At 54.3% G+C, this 14,547-nt stretch overlaps 1 protein-coding gene across 2 annotated transcripts, besides 23 other annotated features; it reads right to left on the bottom strand.

Annotated features, from left to right (window-relative positions):
• Positions 1 to 437: 437 nt before the first annotated feature.
• PPIF (peptidylprolyl isomerase F) lies at positions 438 to 8,303 on the bottom strand. Of its 2 annotated transcripts, none has more exons than XM_005269379.3 (6): positions 8,029 to 8,303; positions 6,666 to 6,696; positions 6,019 to 6,107; positions 4,189 to 4,285; positions 3,380 to 3,455; positions 438 to 2,127 (listed from the first exon to the last, which is right to left on the bottom strand). In XM_005269379.3, the coding sequence occupies exons 1-6, from the start codon at positions 8,221 to 8,223 to the stop codon at positions 2,010 to 2,012; spliced, it is 606 nt and encodes a 201-aa protein (XP_005269436.1). In that variant the 5' UTR covers positions 8,224 to 8,303; the 3' UTR covers positions 438 to 2,009. The 2 variants fall into 2 exon arrangements, with proteins under 2 accessions (XP_005269436.1, NP_005720.1); NM_005729.4 differs by having other exon boundaries at positions 438 to 2,065.
• Positions 1,183 to 1,683: a transcriptional cis regulatory region, noted in NCBI's record as "chr10:81113845-81114345 region (GRCh37/hg19 assembly coordinates) targeted for CRISPR interference". NCBI's record gives its function as "positively regulates PPIF gene expression in Jurkat T cells {active_cell/tissue: Jurkat}" and the evidence as "EXISTENCE:mutant phenotype evidence [ECO:0000015][PMID:33828297]".
• Positions 1,183 to 2,719: a biological region, named in NCBI's record as "CRISPRi-FlowFISH-validated PPIF regulatory elements GRCh37_chr10:81112809-81113784 to GRCh37_chr10:81113845-81114345". NCBI's record gives its function as "regulatory_interactions: PPIF".
• Positions 1,189 to 1,689: a transcriptional cis regulatory region, noted in NCBI's record as "chr10:81113839-81114339 region (GRCh37/hg19 assembly coordinates) targeted for CRISPR interference". NCBI's record gives its function as "positively regulates PPIF gene expression in GM12878 lymphoblastoid cells {active_cell/tissue: GM12878}" and the evidence as "EXISTENCE:mutant phenotype evidence [ECO:0000015][PMID:33828297]".
• Positions 1,192 to 1,692: a transcriptional cis regulatory region, noted in NCBI's record as "chr10:81113836-81114336 region (GRCh37/hg19 assembly coordinates) targeted for CRISPR interference". NCBI's record gives its function as "positively regulates PPIF gene expression in LPS-stimulated THP-1 monocytic cells {active_cell/tissue: THP-1(+LPS for 4hr)}" and the evidence as "EXISTENCE:mutant phenotype evidence [ECO:0000015][PMID:33828297]".
• Positions 1,251 to 1,751: a transcriptional cis regulatory region, noted in NCBI's record as "chr10:81113777-81114277 region (GRCh37/hg19 assembly coordinates) targeted for CRISPR interference". NCBI's record gives its function as "positively regulates PPIF gene expression in THP-1 monocytic cells {active_cell/tissue: THP-1}" and the evidence as "EXISTENCE:mutant phenotype evidence [ECO:0000015][PMID:33828297]".
• Positions 1,549 to 2,049: a transcriptional cis regulatory region, noted in NCBI's record as "chr10:81113479-81113979 region (GRCh37/hg19 assembly coordinates) targeted for CRISPR interference". NCBI's record gives its function as "positively regulates PPIF gene expression in BJAB lymphoma cells {active_cell/tissue: BJAB}" and the evidence as "EXISTENCE:mutant phenotype evidence [ECO:0000015][PMID:33828297]".
• Positions 1,744 to 2,719: a transcriptional cis regulatory region, noted in NCBI's record as "chr10:81112809-81113784 region (GRCh37/hg19 assembly coordinates) targeted for CRISPR interference". NCBI's record gives its function as "positively regulates PPIF gene expression in LPS-stimulated THP-1 monocytic cells {active_cell/tissue: THP-1(+LPS for 4hr)}" and the evidence as "EXISTENCE:mutant phenotype evidence [ECO:0000015][PMID:33828297]".
• Positions 1,758 to 2,712: a transcriptional cis regulatory region, noted in NCBI's record as "chr10:81112816-81113770 region (GRCh37/hg19 assembly coordinates) targeted for CRISPR interference". NCBI's record gives its function as "positively regulates PPIF gene expression in THP-1 monocytic cells {active_cell/tissue: THP-1}" and the evidence as "EXISTENCE:mutant phenotype evidence [ECO:0000015][PMID:33828297]".
• Positions 3,552 to 4,052: an enhancer, noted in NCBI's record as "H3K4me1 hESC enhancer chr10:81111476-81111976 (GRCh37/hg19 assembly coordinates)". NCBI's record gives its function as "activates a minimal SCP1, AML or CMV promoter by ChIP-STARR-seq in primed H9 embryonic stem cells {active_cell/tissue: H9 hESC(primed)}" and the evidence as "EXISTENCE:reporter gene assay evidence [ECO:0000049][PMID:30033119]".
• Positions 6,055 to 6,555: an enhancer, noted in NCBI's record as "H3K4me1 hESC enhancer chr10:81108973-81109473 (GRCh37/hg19 assembly coordinates)". NCBI's record gives its function as "activates a minimal SCP1, AML or CMV promoter by ChIP-STARR-seq in primed H9 embryonic stem cells {active_cell/tissue: H9 hESC(primed)}" and the evidence as "EXISTENCE:reporter gene assay evidence [ECO:0000049][PMID:30033119]".
• Positions 7,322 to 7,822: a transcriptional cis regulatory region, noted in NCBI's record as "chr10:81107706-81108206 region (GRCh37/hg19 assembly coordinates) targeted for CRISPR interference". NCBI's record gives its function as "positively regulates PPIF gene expression in GM12878 lymphoblastoid cells {active_cell/tissue: GM12878}" and the evidence as "EXISTENCE:mutant phenotype evidence [ECO:0000015][PMID:33828297]".
• Positions 7,322 to 8,636: a biological region, named in NCBI's record as "CRISPRi-FlowFISH-validated PPIF regulatory elements GRCh37_chr10:81106892-81107469 to GRCh37_chr10:81107706-81108206". NCBI's record gives its function as "regulatory_interactions: PPIF".
• Positions 7,505 to 8,005: a transcriptional cis regulatory region, noted in NCBI's record as "chr10:81107523-81108023 region (GRCh37/hg19 assembly coordinates) targeted for CRISPR interference". NCBI's record gives its function as "positively regulates PPIF gene expression in anti-CD40- and anti-IgM-stimulated BJAB lymphoma cells {active_cell/tissue: BJAB(+anti-IgM and anti-CD40 for 4hr)}" and the evidence as "EXISTENCE:mutant phenotype evidence [ECO:0000015][PMID:33828297]".
• Positions 7,518 to 8,559: a transcriptional cis regulatory region, noted in NCBI's record as "chr10:81106969-81108010 region (GRCh37/hg19 assembly coordinates) targeted for CRISPR interference". NCBI's record gives its function as "positively regulates PPIF gene expression in LPS-stimulated THP-1 monocytic cells {active_cell/tissue: THP-1(+LPS for 4hr)}" and the evidence as "EXISTENCE:mutant phenotype evidence [ECO:0000015][PMID:33828297]".
• Positions 7,534 to 8,034: a transcriptional cis regulatory region, noted in NCBI's record as "chr10:81107494-81107994 region (GRCh37/hg19 assembly coordinates) targeted for CRISPR interference". NCBI's record gives its function as "positively regulates PPIF gene expression in anti-CD3- and PMA-stimulated Jurkat T cells {active_cell/tissue: Jurkat(+anti-CD3 and PMA for 4hr)}" and the evidence as "EXISTENCE:mutant phenotype evidence [ECO:0000015][PMID:33828297]".
• Positions 7,870 to 8,099: a silencer, noted in NCBI's record as "silent region_2540". NCBI's record gives its function as "represses an Ori minimal core promoter by ATAC-STARR-seq in GM12878 lymphoblastoid cells {active_cell/tissue: GM12878}" and the evidence as "EXISTENCE:reporter gene assay evidence [ECO:0000049][PMID:35858748]".
• Positions 7,886 to 8,559: a transcriptional cis regulatory region, noted in NCBI's record as "chr10:81106969-81107642 region (GRCh37/hg19 assembly coordinates) targeted for CRISPR interference". NCBI's record gives its function as "positively regulates PPIF gene expression in THP-1 monocytic cells {active_cell/tissue: THP-1}" and the evidence as "EXISTENCE:mutant phenotype evidence [ECO:0000015][PMID:33828297]".
• Positions 8,008 to 8,559: a transcriptional cis regulatory region, noted in NCBI's record as "chr10:81106969-81107520 region (GRCh37/hg19 assembly coordinates) targeted for CRISPR interference". NCBI's record gives its function as "positively regulates PPIF gene expression in anti-CD40- and anti-IgM-stimulated BJAB lymphoma cells {active_cell/tissue: BJAB(+anti-IgM and anti-CD40 for 4hr)}" and the evidence as "EXISTENCE:mutant phenotype evidence [ECO:0000015][PMID:33828297]".
• Positions 8,009 to 8,559: a transcriptional cis regulatory region, noted in NCBI's record as "chr10:81106969-81107519 region (GRCh37/hg19 assembly coordinates) targeted for CRISPR interference". NCBI's record gives its function as "positively regulates PPIF gene expression in Jurkat T cells {active_cell/tissue: Jurkat}" and the evidence as "EXISTENCE:mutant phenotype evidence [ECO:0000015][PMID:33828297]".
• Positions 8,027 to 8,559: a transcriptional cis regulatory region, noted in NCBI's record as "chr10:81106969-81107501 region (GRCh37/hg19 assembly coordinates) targeted for CRISPR interference". NCBI's record gives its function as "positively regulates PPIF gene expression in BJAB lymphoma cells {active_cell/tissue: BJAB}" and the evidence as "EXISTENCE:mutant phenotype evidence [ECO:0000015][PMID:33828297]".
• Positions 8,037 to 8,559: a transcriptional cis regulatory region, noted in NCBI's record as "chr10:81106969-81107491 region (GRCh37/hg19 assembly coordinates) targeted for CRISPR interference". NCBI's record gives its function as "positively regulates PPIF gene expression in anti-CD3- and PMA-stimulated Jurkat T cells {active_cell/tissue: Jurkat(+anti-CD3 and PMA for 4hr)}" and the evidence as "EXISTENCE:mutant phenotype evidence [ECO:0000015][PMID:33828297]".
• Positions 8,059 to 8,636: a transcriptional cis regulatory region, noted in NCBI's record as "chr10:81106892-81107469 region (GRCh37/hg19 assembly coordinates) targeted for CRISPR interference". NCBI's record gives its function as "positively regulates PPIF gene expression in GM12878 lymphoblastoid cells {active_cell/tissue: GM12878}" and the evidence as "EXISTENCE:mutant phenotype evidence [ECO:0000015][PMID:33828297]".
• Positions 8,120 to 8,529: a silencer, noted in NCBI's record as "silent region_2539". NCBI's record gives its function as "represses an Ori minimal core promoter by ATAC-STARR-seq in GM12878 lymphoblastoid cells {active_cell/tissue: GM12878}" and the evidence as "EXISTENCE:reporter gene assay evidence [ECO:0000049][PMID:35858748]".

Raw genomic sequence — 14,547 nt, 5'->3', positions numbered from 1 at the left:
AGGGAACCCCAGTGAGAAATAATTCTGTTAGATGCCCTCAAAAGGGCCCAAATTTCCTCTGAGAACTGCCTGCCTGACCACTCAACTGCCGGGCCACACCACAGCCCTGTCTACCTAGGGAAGCTCTTACCTCCAATCCTGCCTTCCCTGTGAATTTGGAAACACCTAGAAGTCAATTCCAAATGGAACTGGCTTATCCTAGGAAGTCCACTCCTAACCTCAGATGATGGAGGCTCCTTTGCTCTGGCATCCCTCCTCCTTCCTAAGACCCTGACAGGGGAAAGGTCATCATCCTTGTCACTCCAGAGTGCTTAGGAAGGTGCGCCAGACACTGCGTTATGCACTTCACGTGGATCACCACCCTACGAGGTGGGCCTTATTGTTAACCCGTGTTAGGATTCTTGTATTGCTATAAAAAAATACTTGAGACTGAGTAATTTATTATTAAAAAGGTTTAATTGGCTTATGGTTCTGCAGGATGTACAGGAAGCATGGTGCTGGCATCTGCTCAGCTTCCAGGGAGGCCTCAGGAAGCTTATGACCATGGCAAAAGGTGAAGGGGGATCAGGCATGTCACATGGTGAAAGCAGGAGCAAGAAGGGGGCAGGGGGAGGTGCCACACAATTTTAAATGACCGTATCTTGCAATAATTCACCATCAAGAAAACAGCACCAAGCCATGAAATACCCGTCCCCATGATCCAAACACCTCGTAGCAGGCCCCACCTCCAGCACTGGGGATTACAGTTCAACATGAGATTTGGCTGGGGACAAATATTCAAACTATATCGCCTCCTTATGCAGCTGAGGGAAACAGACTTGGGGTCACTAAGGGGAGGAGCTGGGATTCAGGGTGGAGCCAGTGCTCATGGCATAGGCTATGGGTGCTAAGGTCGTTTGTCTGAGCCTCATCTCTAAGGCAGGGAGGACAAGTTGCCAGCACGATGACATGAAACCATCCACATGAACGTCCTGAGCATGGCATCTGCCACGGCGAGCTCAGTAAAGATCAGCTCCAAGTCACAGACCCCTCTTCCAGAAACCAGGTACCAGTCTTCCATAGAAAATAGGATTTATTTTCACATTTAAGGTGAACACAAATCCATGTTCCAGAAATGTTTTATGCATAACACATCATGAGTAGATTGAATTTCTTTAACACACAGAAAAATCAAAGCCTACCAGGAAATGCTTCCCTCCGGAGCACAGGAGCTTACAGGCCACTTCTGTTAGCAACACAGGAATTCACATTGTCTAGGCACAGCTCAAGTGAGGTTTGTTCCCAGGTTCAACTGCTCCTACCCCCATGGGCCCTCCTCAAAAACGACAGCAGCAAACCAACAGGCTTCACAGTAACCAGGAGGAAAGATCTCAGCGGGGGAACCTTCACAAAAGCCCTGAGTTGTGTTTCAAAAGCCAAGCTCTGGGGTCTGTGGCCTGTGTCACCAACTCAGGTCACACCACAGCACGGGGAAGTTAGTGTTGCAGTTTCACTTCTAGTCAATCTTGTTAATTAAATTATCCCAATTAGGAAGACAATATTAAACAGGTATTAGAGTCCTTTTGCAAAACTGACTGTCCCCCTTGGTCAAGGAAAAGACTTTCACTTGGATGGCAACCCATCACCATCACCATGTCCAAGGCACAGATGAATCTGGGCTGGGCAATCACAGGCAATGCTTGACAAGGGGTGGGTGACATCATGTCCACAAAGATGCCCAGAAATGAGGTCGTGAGGAAGGGTGGGTATTAGGAAGCAATGTGGTGGGTCCTGGCCGAGGTCTAACATCCCTAGCAGCCTTCCTCAGGCACACTGTGACAGTGGAGTGGGCACACGTATCGTTTCAGGCACCTTGGCTGACAGCCCAACGCGGCCACCTGGGTGCATGGACATTTGCAGCTGCCACCATGCCAGCACCCTGGCCACAGATTAGCTCAACTGGCCACAGTCTGTGATGACAATCTTCTTGGATGTCCTCCCACTCTTAGAGCCGAAAGATTCTATTTTCTTCACGACGTCCATGCCCTCTTTGACGTGACCGAACACAACATGCTTGCCATCCAACCTGTGAGGACGGGTGACCCGGGTGAGCAACAGTGTAGCGCAATGTCATCCAATGCCATGGACCTGGTCATGGAATTAGTTACCGAAAACAGCAATTCTGAAAAGAATCCCCATGGAATAGCTAGATCTACCCCCAAAGCTCGATCAAGCCTTGTTGAGCGCCCCAAATACACCCCAGAGGATGCCTGGCTTCCAGGACACATTCTGTCACTCATGTTGTGACCTTGCCTCAGGCCATGTAGCCTGAATCCTGGTAACCCCATCTATCAAAAGTGGAGTATTCTTTGTTCTGCATGGGGAGGTAACAGGATACTGAAATGCTCTGAAGAAAGAAGAAGTCCATACAAATGGAACCACGTTAACGGTCATGAATGATGAGTCAAGAGTCAAAGGAACAAGGGTGGTGAAACTGCAGGAGTCCTGGGCAGCTCTCAACCCGAGAGAGTCCAATAATGTAAAAGGCGGCTCAGTCCAGCTCCAGCGAAGCTGGCGTGGTTCCAGCCAAGAGCAGAACTGCAGGATCCACTGGGGTCCCATGAAGGAGCAAAGAGCAGGCTGAGCCAGCAAGGACCTGCCCAGCCCTGCCGGCCACATCTCTTGGGCTTGGAGGCTGGACACTTCTAGTGTCTGCCCCACCTAGGTCTCCCTAAAATCCTCGGAAATGGGCTTTACCAAGTCAGCTCCCAGCCAGTTCATCCCCAGGTGCCCCAGGGCTAGGACATTTGGGACTCTGGCCAGAGAAATTTATCCCTTAGAGGAAAATGTACCAGGAAAGAGACATCCCTAAAATCCATGGGCATTGAAAACAGGGCCCTTACAGGCCTGTGGCTATCTGCAGGTTTATGATAATACAGAGGCTTCATTTGGAAATTTGCTGATATCCAAATGTCTGCTGCAGCATTGCCAAGGCTCAGCCCATGGTCAAGACAAGCCTGGGAAACTCCAGGTTAAAACCACACAAGTGGGCTTCTACTCAGTCCCTCCTGAGGCCTCATAATATGTTTTGCAACATTTCCCAAATGTATCTGGTAGAGAAACCCTTTCGTGTGTGCGTGTGAGCAGAACACACTCAGAAAATTCCAGGTGACAGCAACAATGGGAACCCGAACCATGACAGAGTTGCAGGAACAACCCCAATTCTCCCTTGATCCTTCCACTAACTTTCTCTTTCTCATACAAACACACAGCCTGGGAGAGGGCCACTGTCCCAGAGCAGAAGGCCTGGCTGTAAACTGCCTGCCCCTAAAAGTGCACGAATCCTCCTCCAGCTGCAAGGCTGCCCGCATTCCCAGAGGGCCTGGGGCAGGGAACTCACCAGTCTGTCTTTATGGTGCAGATGAAGAACTGGGAGCCGTTGGTGTTAGGACCAGCATTAGCCATGGACAGGACACCTGCAAAAACCAGCAGGGCTGAGCCACGCTGCCCCTGGAGGCACCTGCCTGGGAGGGCATTTGAAAGGGCAGACGGTGCAAACCACACCAGGGACATTCGAGTCTGCAGATCCTGGGACCCAGAAGAGGAGAACCAGGGCCCGATACCAGCCCCCCAGGGTATGCCTGCCTTTGCTGCCTGCTAGTTCTCAGTGGGGTGGCCTGAGAGGACAGGGCCTTGTGGAAGCTCTCAGTGGTAGAGCTGGGGCGGGACCTGGGGCAGGACCCCAGGACCTGACCTCCAGACATCTCCACATTCTACCTTGGGTCTTATAGGTGACACGATGCTGCCACAATAACCACTCTGGCTTCCAAACCATTTGCTTTTTATCTAAGCAAGATTTTAAATAATCCTCAAAGGACCTAAGGACCATTCTGCAACAATTCTAAGTGTCCTAGAATTTCCAACCCGAAACTCAGAGGACAAACAGGGAGGTGGCCAGGGCCTCCATTCTGCTTAAAGGTTCTTCCACAAAGTTCCCAAAGGAAACCCTGCTTTTTAAACTGAGAGATGAGAAAACTCTAGGGAAACTCAACAAGCCAGAAATGCTGAGACAGCCTACAGTGTCGCAGGGAGGAAGGAGACTCATCAGATACTGGACGGTGACTGCATGTGGCCTCTCAGGGCCTGCTGGGGCTTCCAGGCCAGGTCAGAGCTGTGGGGACACTCACCCTAGAGGAGGCCCCCACTCACCTGGCCCCACGTGCTTCAGTGTAAAGTTCTCGTCAGGAAAGCGGCTTCCGTAGATGGACTTCCCGCCTGTGCCATTGTGGTTGGTGAAGTCGCCCGCCTGTGAGCACAAAGCACCTTCTGAGTGGCTACCATGGAGCAGGCGGGGGCCACGGCCCTGGCGCTGGCAGCAGCCTCAGCCCACCCAAGCCCACCCAGTTGGCGCCCCTCAGGTAAAGGGGTCAATAAACATCCAATAAAATAAGAGCTAATAATAAGAATAATAAGCAAAAAAAAAAAAGACAAAACTTAAATATCTTTTGTCACCGTAACTACCTTTGTTTCCAAATGACTTACTTTTTGTCTGAGCAAATTTTTAAGTAATCTTCAAAAGACCTAAAGGCCATTCTGAGATGATACTTAGTGACCCAGAATTTAACCCACTCCTCCTGGAGGGCAACAAGGAAGAGGCCAGAGGCCCCCCAGTTCCCGAGTCTAGTCTGTGGGAGTACCAGCAGCTGGTCCAGACCAGCTCCCCAGGCCGAGTCCCCTCACTGTCCGCGCACTGCCCCTTACCCAGCCCAGCAGCTTTCCCAACCCTTGCAGACCCAGGACAGAGTCTGCCCAAGGCTGACATCTTTCCTCAGGCCTCAGCTAAGGCCCAGGCAGCCGTGGCCAAACCTGCATGGGGCACCCATGGCCAGAAGAGCCTGGTAGCAGCCCCTATGCCTAGCGCTGCCCAGCCCAGGCCATGGCTGGCTGCTGTTTTCCTGAGATGGGATCCGTGGGTAAGAGAGGGGAACTGACCAGCCCAGCTGAAGCATCCACAGGTGTCAATTAGGTGCTCCCTAATTGATATCCCTCCCAACGGATGACTCAGGACTCTGGTCTGGACTCCCGGTGCCACCGCCTTGTGCCAGGGAGCCCTCCCGCGCTGGAGTTCCCACCCTGGCTCAGGACTTCCACCTCAGCTCCTACTTTACCATCAGCCTTAGGGCTGGGCCAGGCCTGCCGTCCCTGTGTTCACCCCGTATCCAGGCTTCGCCGCACATAGACGTCCAGTCCCAACCCGCTGCCACTTACCACGGTACGATGACGGCCACTGGGTCAGGGTGGAGGGAATGGGGAGAGAATTCCAGGCAGGAAGGTCTTCAAAGAGGTCATGACAGCCATGCCCCTGCCTCCAGGCTCTGCCTGCCCAGGACACCCAATCCCTGATCTTGAAGGTCTGTGCTAATAGAAGACCAGCCCCAACACCACCTGGGTCCTGACCCACAGGAAGCTCCTGCTACAACACCTACCCCCAAACCTCTGACACAGCAATACCAATGCTTGTGAAAACTGAGCATGACACATGACCGAAAAACATTCATTTCACCGAGAATAATGCCTTTCTCTGGGAAGGGAAGCCCCAAGTCCTGGCGTGTGTGTTCCTGCCCTGGACCTGTCTTCCTCCTCCGCCTCCTCCACTTCTCTCTCTCCCTCTCTTATCTCCCACACCAGTGCTCAGGGGCACACAGGGGACAAGGTCAGAGACCACTGGAATATGCTGGCTCTTCAAAGTCTTCAAGGCCACCCCCAGCACATCCATCTCCCAACCCAGCTCTCTCTTGATAGACTCCACCTCCCAGTCCCCCGGGCAGGGCCTGCCACTGACCTGGAGTGGCAGCGGGTTGGGGCTGGGCTTCCATGTGCAGTGAAGCCTGGATACAGGGCTAATGCAGGGAGGGCAGCCTGGCTGACAGAGCAACTGCAGCTGCTCTGCTCAGCACCTTCCTCATACCAGGCATCTTCACACACCCACAAGGCAGCTCCTGCTCTCATCCCCCCTTACAGAAGAGGAAACTACATTACCTGGCACATGAAGGAAGGGATCACCCTGTGGAAGGTGGAGCCTTTGTAGCCGAAGCCCTTCTCACCAGTGCACAGGGCTCTGAAGTTCTCTGAGGGTCGAAGAGAAACACAGGTCAACAGGGCCAGGCCCCAATTCCAGGGTCATACCCGTTCCAGCCAAAATCCCTGCTACATCCCCAGCAGTGAACAGGGGGATAAAGACTCTGGCCCACCTCTTGGGTCTGCTCTGCCCAACTCGCTATGTAACTGGACAAGTCACTCCCCTTCCCTGTCCTCAGTACCTGAGCACTGTGACAAGAGTACAGGCTCATGGCTGTGCTGGCCAGCAGGGCACGGACTCAAGGGCTGTGTGCCCATCACCCTGCCTCACTGGGCACCAGGAGTGGGGAAGTCTCCGGGAAATTTACATGTGCCTTCCACTGGCTCTGAGGCTCCCAGCTACTATGAGAGAGGAGGGCAGAGCCAACGTTGAGGCCCAGAGAGGGATGGCAGGGCTGCCCCAGAGCACCCAATGGCTGAGCCACACATGGAGCTCCCATCTGTCAGGGGTCTCTGAGCCCCGACTCTTCTCATCACGCCACCCACCTTGCCCTGCCTGGCCCCCTTCCCTCTAGACCCATCTCAGAAGGCCCCAGGCCCTGTCTTACCAGCTGTCTTTGGGACGACATCTGCCTTCAGCTGTTGGGGGAGAAGAAGGACAAAAGAGGATGGTCATTGGAGAGGCAGGTGAAGGTGGGTGTCTCTCAGCACCCACCCACCCCCACAGTGGCCAAGGAGGCTAAGGAAGAAGCACGTGGACATTCCATTCCCATTATTGCCAACCCCCATGGGAGGCAGCTCTATCATTTCTGGGAGCCGTTTCCTGAACCCAAGGCTGGAGGAGGTGGCCTTGGTTTCCTAATCTGTCAGAAGAGATGACAATGCTATCTTGGCCTACTTCTGTGGACACAGCTGGCAGTGCTCCCACAGCTGGGCCCAAAGCATCAGAAATTCAGGGACAAGAGAGTGTGTCTAAGGTAGAAGCCAGACCAGCTCCTCCATTCGGGGTTGGGAAACTGAGGCCCAGGGAGAGGCATGAGGGTGTGGGGAGGGAAGGCTGAAGCCCCATCCCAGCCAGCCTCTACCCTCGAAGCTGCAAGACCCACCCTGGAACCAAATGGAAGCAGGAAGGGTGTCCCTATTTTCCAGAAGAAACTGAGAATGAAGAAGAAATACTAAGGGCTCCCTGGGATACGGGCCAGTCAACACAAACAGACCCCTGCTGTCAATGTGTGGCCGACCTGAAGGCTCCACTAGGGCTTTCCCTCTAAAGCTACCCTGGTGACTGTTTCTTACTTTGCTTTAGAAAAGACCCAAAAACAGAGTTAGGGGAGGTGCTCAGTGTGGCCCCCAAGGACAGTGGCAGGGGTTGAGGCGCCGGGCACACTGTCTCTGAGTGTGTCCCGACTCGCAGGAGGGGCATTCTGGGGTCCACCAGGTGGCCGGGGCCTGAGGCCTACTGGGCCCGCACTACTGCTGGAAACCACCTCTCGCTCCATTTCCCAGCACCCCCAGTGTGAGCCCGACCGCAGGGGCGGGGCCGGAGCCAGGAAGCGCTCCGTGTTGTGCAAGGGCCGCCACGTGAGCACCCGCTGGGCCACGACGCTCACCCCAAGACCCCCGACACCCACCTCGGAGCTCCGGATCTAGGCTCAGCCCCAGAAGGCTCCTGGAGCCCCTCCCTCGTGCCCGGGCCGGCCCAGAGGTGCTGAGCCCTCCCTCTCTGCGATCTGACCTTGAGCTTTCTCCTCCACACGTGCCCTCCCTCCCGTCTCCCCCGCTCCAGTGCTCCGAGGGAGGCCGGAAGAAATCATTCTGACGCCCATTCTCAGAAATGGGGAAACTGAGGCCCAGAGCTCGGCATGGGGAGGCCCAAGGTCACCCAGCGCGCCCGGCACCGCGCCGCCCGGGGCCCAGGGCTCTCCCCGGGCCCGTGTCCCGCGCCCAGGCCGGCCCTGCGAGCGGTCTCACCTCCAGCACCACGCGGCCGAGCGGCTTCCCGTTGGCGTCCACGTCCAGGTACACGAGCGGGTTCCCGGAGGAGGAGGAAGAGGACGGGTCGCCGGAGCCCTTGCTGCAGGCGCGGGCCGCGGGGAGGCGCAGCGGCACGGAGCGCGGGACGGAGAGCAGGCCGAGCCAGCGGGAGCCGCAGCGCAGCGCCAGCATCGCGGGCGCGGGTCGGGCGGGACACGGGCGGGGAGAACACAGAACTCAAACTGACGTCGCGCGCGCCCAGAAGGCCGAGTCCCGCGCAGCCGCGCGCCGCAGCCTTTATTGGCTTGCCCAGGTTCCCGGCCCTGCCCCCGTCCCGCCTCCTCCAGGCCTGTCCGTGGACTACCCCTGCCGGCCGCAGCGGGCAGCGCAGCCAGCCGGTGGGGCCGCGGAGCGTGAAGTGCTTTGAAACACTCCCGCCTCCAGGCCCAGAGACCCGGAGAACAGACACCTGGCAAAAGGTTGCTGGTTCCATGTTTATTAAGGTACCAGCAGATTTTTTTAAAAAAAGAAAAACTGCTAAAACGTAATTAATTCCAAAATATGAGCATCTATACGTTGCAATTTGAATATAATAGCAAAAGTCTACCTTTGAGCCCTTTGCAGGTAAGGCTCAGGCCAAATAAGCTTCCCTGCTGCCCTAGGTCCTGCAGTCTGAGAGGGTTAGAGAAAGGTGAGATGAGAGGCGGGATTAGTGAGCTAGAGGCGCAAGAGGGAGGAGATAAGCTGAGACACCTCCCATGATGCCCCCTAGCCTGCTTGTCCCGGCCTGGGCCTGTCTCTAGTTGTTTCTGGGGACCAGACCTGCTTCTAGCAAGACTGAAAACGCAGCCTGGGCTCATCATGCTCCTTTCAGGCCCCCAGCCCTCCCCAGGACTGGGTCTGATCCCTCCTCCTAGGACCCACACTGACAGCCCCGGGGCAGACTGCCAGCTGCCCCCTCCCATCAGCATGCACCCTGGGAGGGGACTCAGTGGGGAGACCCACAGCAGGAGCATTTAAACCCCACGTGCTGAAAGTGGGCTTCCCAGCAGCCAGAGCCACCCTCACTGCAAGGTGGTGGGAGGTCTGCAATAAATGGATGCCACGCAGGGACCTGAGAGAGCATCTGGCCCAACACTTGTACTGTCCCCAGGGGAAGCTGAGGCCTGGACACAGGAAGGCACTGGCTAGGGCTAGGGAGCCCTGGAGTATTGCTACCAGCTTGCACCAGTGCTCCAGGCCTCTCTGGGCCTCAGTTTCCCATCTGGAGGGTAAGGGTGCGATCATGCTCCTCATCCTGCTTTTTTCTCGTGTCTGTTCTTAGGATAAAATGAACGAGAGAGACATGGATTTGTCAACTAAGTACTGTGCCTGTGGGCATCTGTGATGGACAGAGTCTGGACTGTCTTTCTCACAGTTTGGGATTCAGAGAGCTGCGGTCTCAGTTAGAGGCCTGAGGGGTCAGAGAAAGGGGTGGGGCTGAGCCTTGGAGGCAGGTGGGCAGGAGTAGGGACCAGCTCTGGACTGACCTGCCCCAGATCCTGAATGGGCTCATGGGAACAGGTCAGGCAGCAAAATGCCAGCCAAGCAAATTCATGAGGTCAGAGCAGTGCCCTAGCTTCATAAGAATGCTAGCTTGGCCTCTGGAAGTTTGGCTAGCTTGGCTTCTGGAAGTTCATAGCCCCCTTCTCCGATTCCTGGCCTAGGAGGGGCCTAGGCACCCAGTGAAGCCCAGGTGGGATGCATTCCAGGTCCCAGCCCAGAATGGGGCCTCACTCTGCCCTGGGGAGCAGCCCCTCCTTTCTTATGATTGTGCCCTGAGGTGAGCAGGCCTGAGTGGGGAGCCCACTTGAGCCCTCAGCACATGTCCCAGACCTTCCTCTACCAGTGCATCCTGTGGATTTGAGAGTGGAGGAATCACGCCATGTGCCTTGTCATGAAGCTTCCTTAAGGCCCCAGGCTTCCCTGCGGCCAGTTCCAGGCCCTGAGCTCACAGGACCTTCAGCCACAGCAGGTAGCTCAGCGTACCCTGTTGTTTCTCAAGCCTGCTCCTGGGGGGACTCAGTTTATGCCCCATCCTGATGAAGCATGAGCATCCCCACCCCAGGGGAGTGCTGCCTTCATTCACTTGACCACTTCAGTTCTCAGAACCCTTTCCCAGCTGTGAACTCTGCCTGAGAGACAGCTCTGTTTTGCAGATGGGGAAGCCAGGCCCCAGGGGCTGGGGAGTGAATTGCCCAAGGGCAGGCTGTTGGAACTGGGACCAGTCTGTCTGACTTCACAATCAGGGTTATTGCATGTCAAACCCTTCTCACTCTCACCACGAAGCTGGTCCTTGGGACAGGGTGGGGAGGCAAGAGAGATAAGCCTGGGCAGACAACACAGTAAGATAGAAACGGTGGAGTTGGCCAGGGGGCTATGGAGCTCAGGGACTAGGGAGATGGTTTTAATAGTGAGCATGAGCTGAAAGGCCTGTGGGGACCCAATCACAGAGGGCTCTGAAGGCCTGGCTGAGGTCTGACATTGTTGGATAGCACTGGGGAGCCATGAATAGTGCAAAGACTCCATGCTGAGGACTCTGGACTGGGAACCAGCTTCTTTCATTCATGTTACTCCTTCCACTCTCTTTGGAAAATCAAACGTCATCACTACCTCCTAAGCCAGAGAAAAGCCTACCTTCCCCAAAGGCTTAGCTATGATGTCATCCCTTCCTGTTCTGTTCTCAGTGGTATCAGGAAGAAGGATAGTCTATAGGCTAAGCCATGAGCTGAACACATGCCCAGCCCTTGAGGGCTCCGGGCCCAGGTGACATCAGGCAGGTGTTAGCACTCACCTGGCTCTGAGGCTATTTATAGACTGTGTTATCCTCAGAAACAGCAGTGTTTCTCTCCACTCAGCTCACATGGTTTTTTATCCAGGGTGCTGATGGGTTTTGTCACCTAGGGATCCTGTAACACCACCTCTAGGCCTCACAAAGCCAAAGAACAATCAGTTTGTGCTAAGCTCAGAATCTCATTCAGGGGTTGCAAACTCAGATGCCTGCGGGGGCCAGGCAGGTGATACACATGAGTGGTGCAAGCTGGTAAGTATGTAGGGAGTGAGGGGAGGTGGCACTGTATCCAGATAGCTAATGGATGTCCCAGGTAAAGAGGTAGCTGCTGCCCAGGCCAGCCAATTATTGTATATGGGACTATGGGTCCACACAGGCCACCCAGGTTTTCTCATCTTTCAATAAAAGCTGAAGACTTTAAGTTTTATAGAAATCTAGTTTTCAAATTTTTGAAATGAATTTCAAAATAAAATTAAACACCGAATGAACTGTAAACACCGTATCCAAACTAGATGAGGACTCTGGGCTGATAGTTTGTAAGCTCTGATTTCCACTGTACAGGTGAGAGGACTGAAGCTCAGAGAAGGATGGGGAGTGGCCCGAGGCCATACAGCTGGGCAGTACCAGGACTGTGGTCAGACCCTCTCTTCACTCTCCCCAGGGCCCTTTCTGCAAAGTTCACTCAGCAGACATGTTTTCAGAGCACCTACTGTGTTCTGAGCCCTGAGCTTCACCCTGGGGATTCAGAAGGACAAAGACAGGGACAGGAGGTTATGGTGTCCTGAGATGCTGGAACTGCTGAACAAACCTCTCCCAGGTAGCCCTGTGTGTGGCAGGAGTGAACGCTGTGGTTGTCGTGGGGTACAAAGTTACAGTTGTTCTGGAGAGACCCTCCAGGAGGGGCTGGGGGTGAAGGTAGCCCCGGTGTGGGCATGAGGTGGGGTTTCTATAATATTAAATATCATGAAGGCTGAGATCATTACCAGTGCCAGTCACTGGGTCATACAACCTGTGCTGCCAGCCTAGACAATGGTCCTTAGGTAGGATGAGGCCATGGACTTCATCTGTCTGGTTATGCTTGAGGGGTTTGGGGTCCAGGATAGCATCTGTCATGGGAAGGGAAACTGAGAGAGAGGTTCCCCGCGACTCAGAAAGCCACCAGACCCTTCTACTGGGTTGCTGTGGGACTCTCTGGGGATGGAGTGTCCCCCGTGGCCTTTGCAAAGTCAGTACATTCATCATCCTCTCTCTGCTGGCTTCTAAGAACCAGACCATGATGGGGAGGCAGAGGCAGAGAAGGGAGGTTCCACTAAGGCCCAGGGAGGTGGTGGGCACAGTGATCAGAGAGAGACCCACAAGGGGAAGATGGGGCGAAGCTCTCCTCTGGAGTCCAGCTGGTCTTTTACTCGTGTGATCTGGATCACTGCGGGCCACTGAGAGCGGAGCCAGTGTGGTAGGGTGGAGCTCAGTAGGGTGTGGCTCACCCTCAGCTGCTGGGCTCTCACACAACCTGCCTGGCCACAGCCCCCTGCAACTCACAACTCAGCAGAGCTTGCCTTCTGGGAGTATCTGCAAGATAATCCATGTTTGTTGTTTGAAGCCACTAAGTGTTGGGTCATTTGCCATGTGCAGTGGATAACTCATACCCATAGTACCCCACCCCAGCCAGGACTCCTGGAAGATCCCATTGCTCCATGCACAGCCAGTCCTGGATCTGCTGTCTCAGCAAGCTTGGTCACCAGCTCTTGGCAAGGACCTCACGGGCATGGTCAGGGAGAACTGGTCCAAGAGACAGGACTTCCTTGTCTTTGTAAAGACGTGGAATGGGCTGGTTATTTCTGTCTCATGCCTCTGAGGGAGACTGATTGAAGCTTGGGAGAGTGGAGGAGCTGGGAGAGAGTCCTCAGCGGGAGGGCCTGAGGGTCTGGCCATGGCATCCTGTTGGCCTCTGGGAAGGGGACGGGGCCTCACTTAATACCTCCGTGCTGGGCTCCGCACTTTGTAGATGTCATTCTGAGCCTCAGGGTGACCCTGCAAAGTGGAGCTTGTTGTCCCTGTCTTACAAATAAAGGAATGGAGGCCAAGAGAGATTAATGATGTGCCCAAGGTCACACTAGGGCCAAGTGGAGAGTGGAATTCTTCCTGACTCACCTGGCTCTGTGTCTCCAGGGGCAGGTGGGCTCTGAGTGGTGCCTCTGAGCTGGCTTGTGCCAGACATCATCCCCTCCACGCAGCCGTTTTCTTCCAGCTAGCCTGACACTGTGCTTAGTGATTGAGATCTATGATCCTATGTAGTCCTCATGATAACTCTGCAAGGGAGGGTCTGTTGTCCCCACCTGATGGACACCAGATGGCTGAGCTGGATTTCAACCCAGGCCTGGCTGAATCCATATCTGCACTCTCTCCCACTGACTGGGTCTTCTCACCCTAGAGAATCTACCATTGGCTCAGCCCTGCAGGGCGACACCCAACAGTACAGCTGGGTAACATAGAAACACACACTGACTTCATTTACACAGTCCCTGCCCAGAGTCAATAGAAAAGTACCTGGTCAGCAGGACCCGCAAGGTTGCCAAGTCCAGTCCAGATTCGTCCTTGGTGCATGCCCCATTGCCACCTTTATTTACTGTTTACTGATTTGCAGTGGCTTTTCTCAATGCATCATTATCCTCAGGAGAGGATCCCACTGCCAGTTGTCTAGGAGTGGGGCCCAAGACTTTGCCAAGCCTAAAATGCTGCTCAGTCAGACTTCACCTGAGCTCTGGGCTCTCTGCCTTGTGGGTGCAAGGAAGCAAGCAGCCTCCAATTCTGCAGTTTCCCTTTTTGGTCTGTTGTTTTGGTCTGTGCAATTTTCATGAATCTACTGACTTGACCCTCTTAACCTCCACTGACTAACTCACATTGATACCTTTCCTTGCTCCATTAGAATAAATCTCCTTCTGGTCAACAATGCTTACCTTGTGATCCATATTGTCCACCTTCTGATCAGTATGGTCCACCCTTGATGACAAGTATTTGTCTTTTCTTCAAATGAAGATAAGCACCATGGTGAAACCCCCTCTCTACTAAAAAATACAAAAATTAGGCCGGGCGCAGTGGCTCATGCCTGTAATCCCAGCACTTTGGGAGGCCTTGGCGGGCAGATCACCTGAGGTCGGGAGTTCGAGACCAGCCTGACCAACATGAAGAAACCCCATCTCTACTAAAAATACAAAATTAGCCGGGCATGGTGGTGCATGCCTGTAATCCCAGCTACTCGGGAGGCTGAGGCAAGAGAATCGCTTGAACCCGGGAGGTGGAGGTTGCAGTGAGCCAAGATCACGCCACTGCACTGCAGCCTGGGCGACAGAGCGAGACTCTGTCTCAAAAAAAAAAAAAAAGTAACTGGGCGTCATGGTGGGTGCCTGTAATCCCAGCTACTCGGGAGGCTGAGGCAGGAAGAATTGCTTGAACCCAGGAGGCAGAGGTTGCAGTGAGCTGAGATCGAGCTACTGCACTCCAGCCTGGGTGACAGAGCGAGACTCTGTCTCAAAAAAAAAAAAAGAAGAAGAAGAAGAAGATAAGCACTATGGTAATAAGAATAGCTACCTTTTGCTGCACTTAATACACTGCACATGGTAAGGATTTATAACATTATTTCTTAATCCCCACATGGCCCTTGAGAACAAGTACTAGTATTAACTACT

This window comes from Homo sapiens, chromosome 10 (assembly GCF_000001405.40).
Source record: "Homo sapiens chromosome 10, GRCh38.p14 Primary Assembly".
In the NCBI taxonomy this organism is placed as follows: Eukaryota; Metazoa; Chordata; class Mammalia; order Primates; family Hominidae; genus Homo; species Homo sapiens.
The sequence above is the reverse complement of the archived record's forward strand: the minus strand, read 5'-3'. Positions and strand labels throughout refer to the sequence as shown.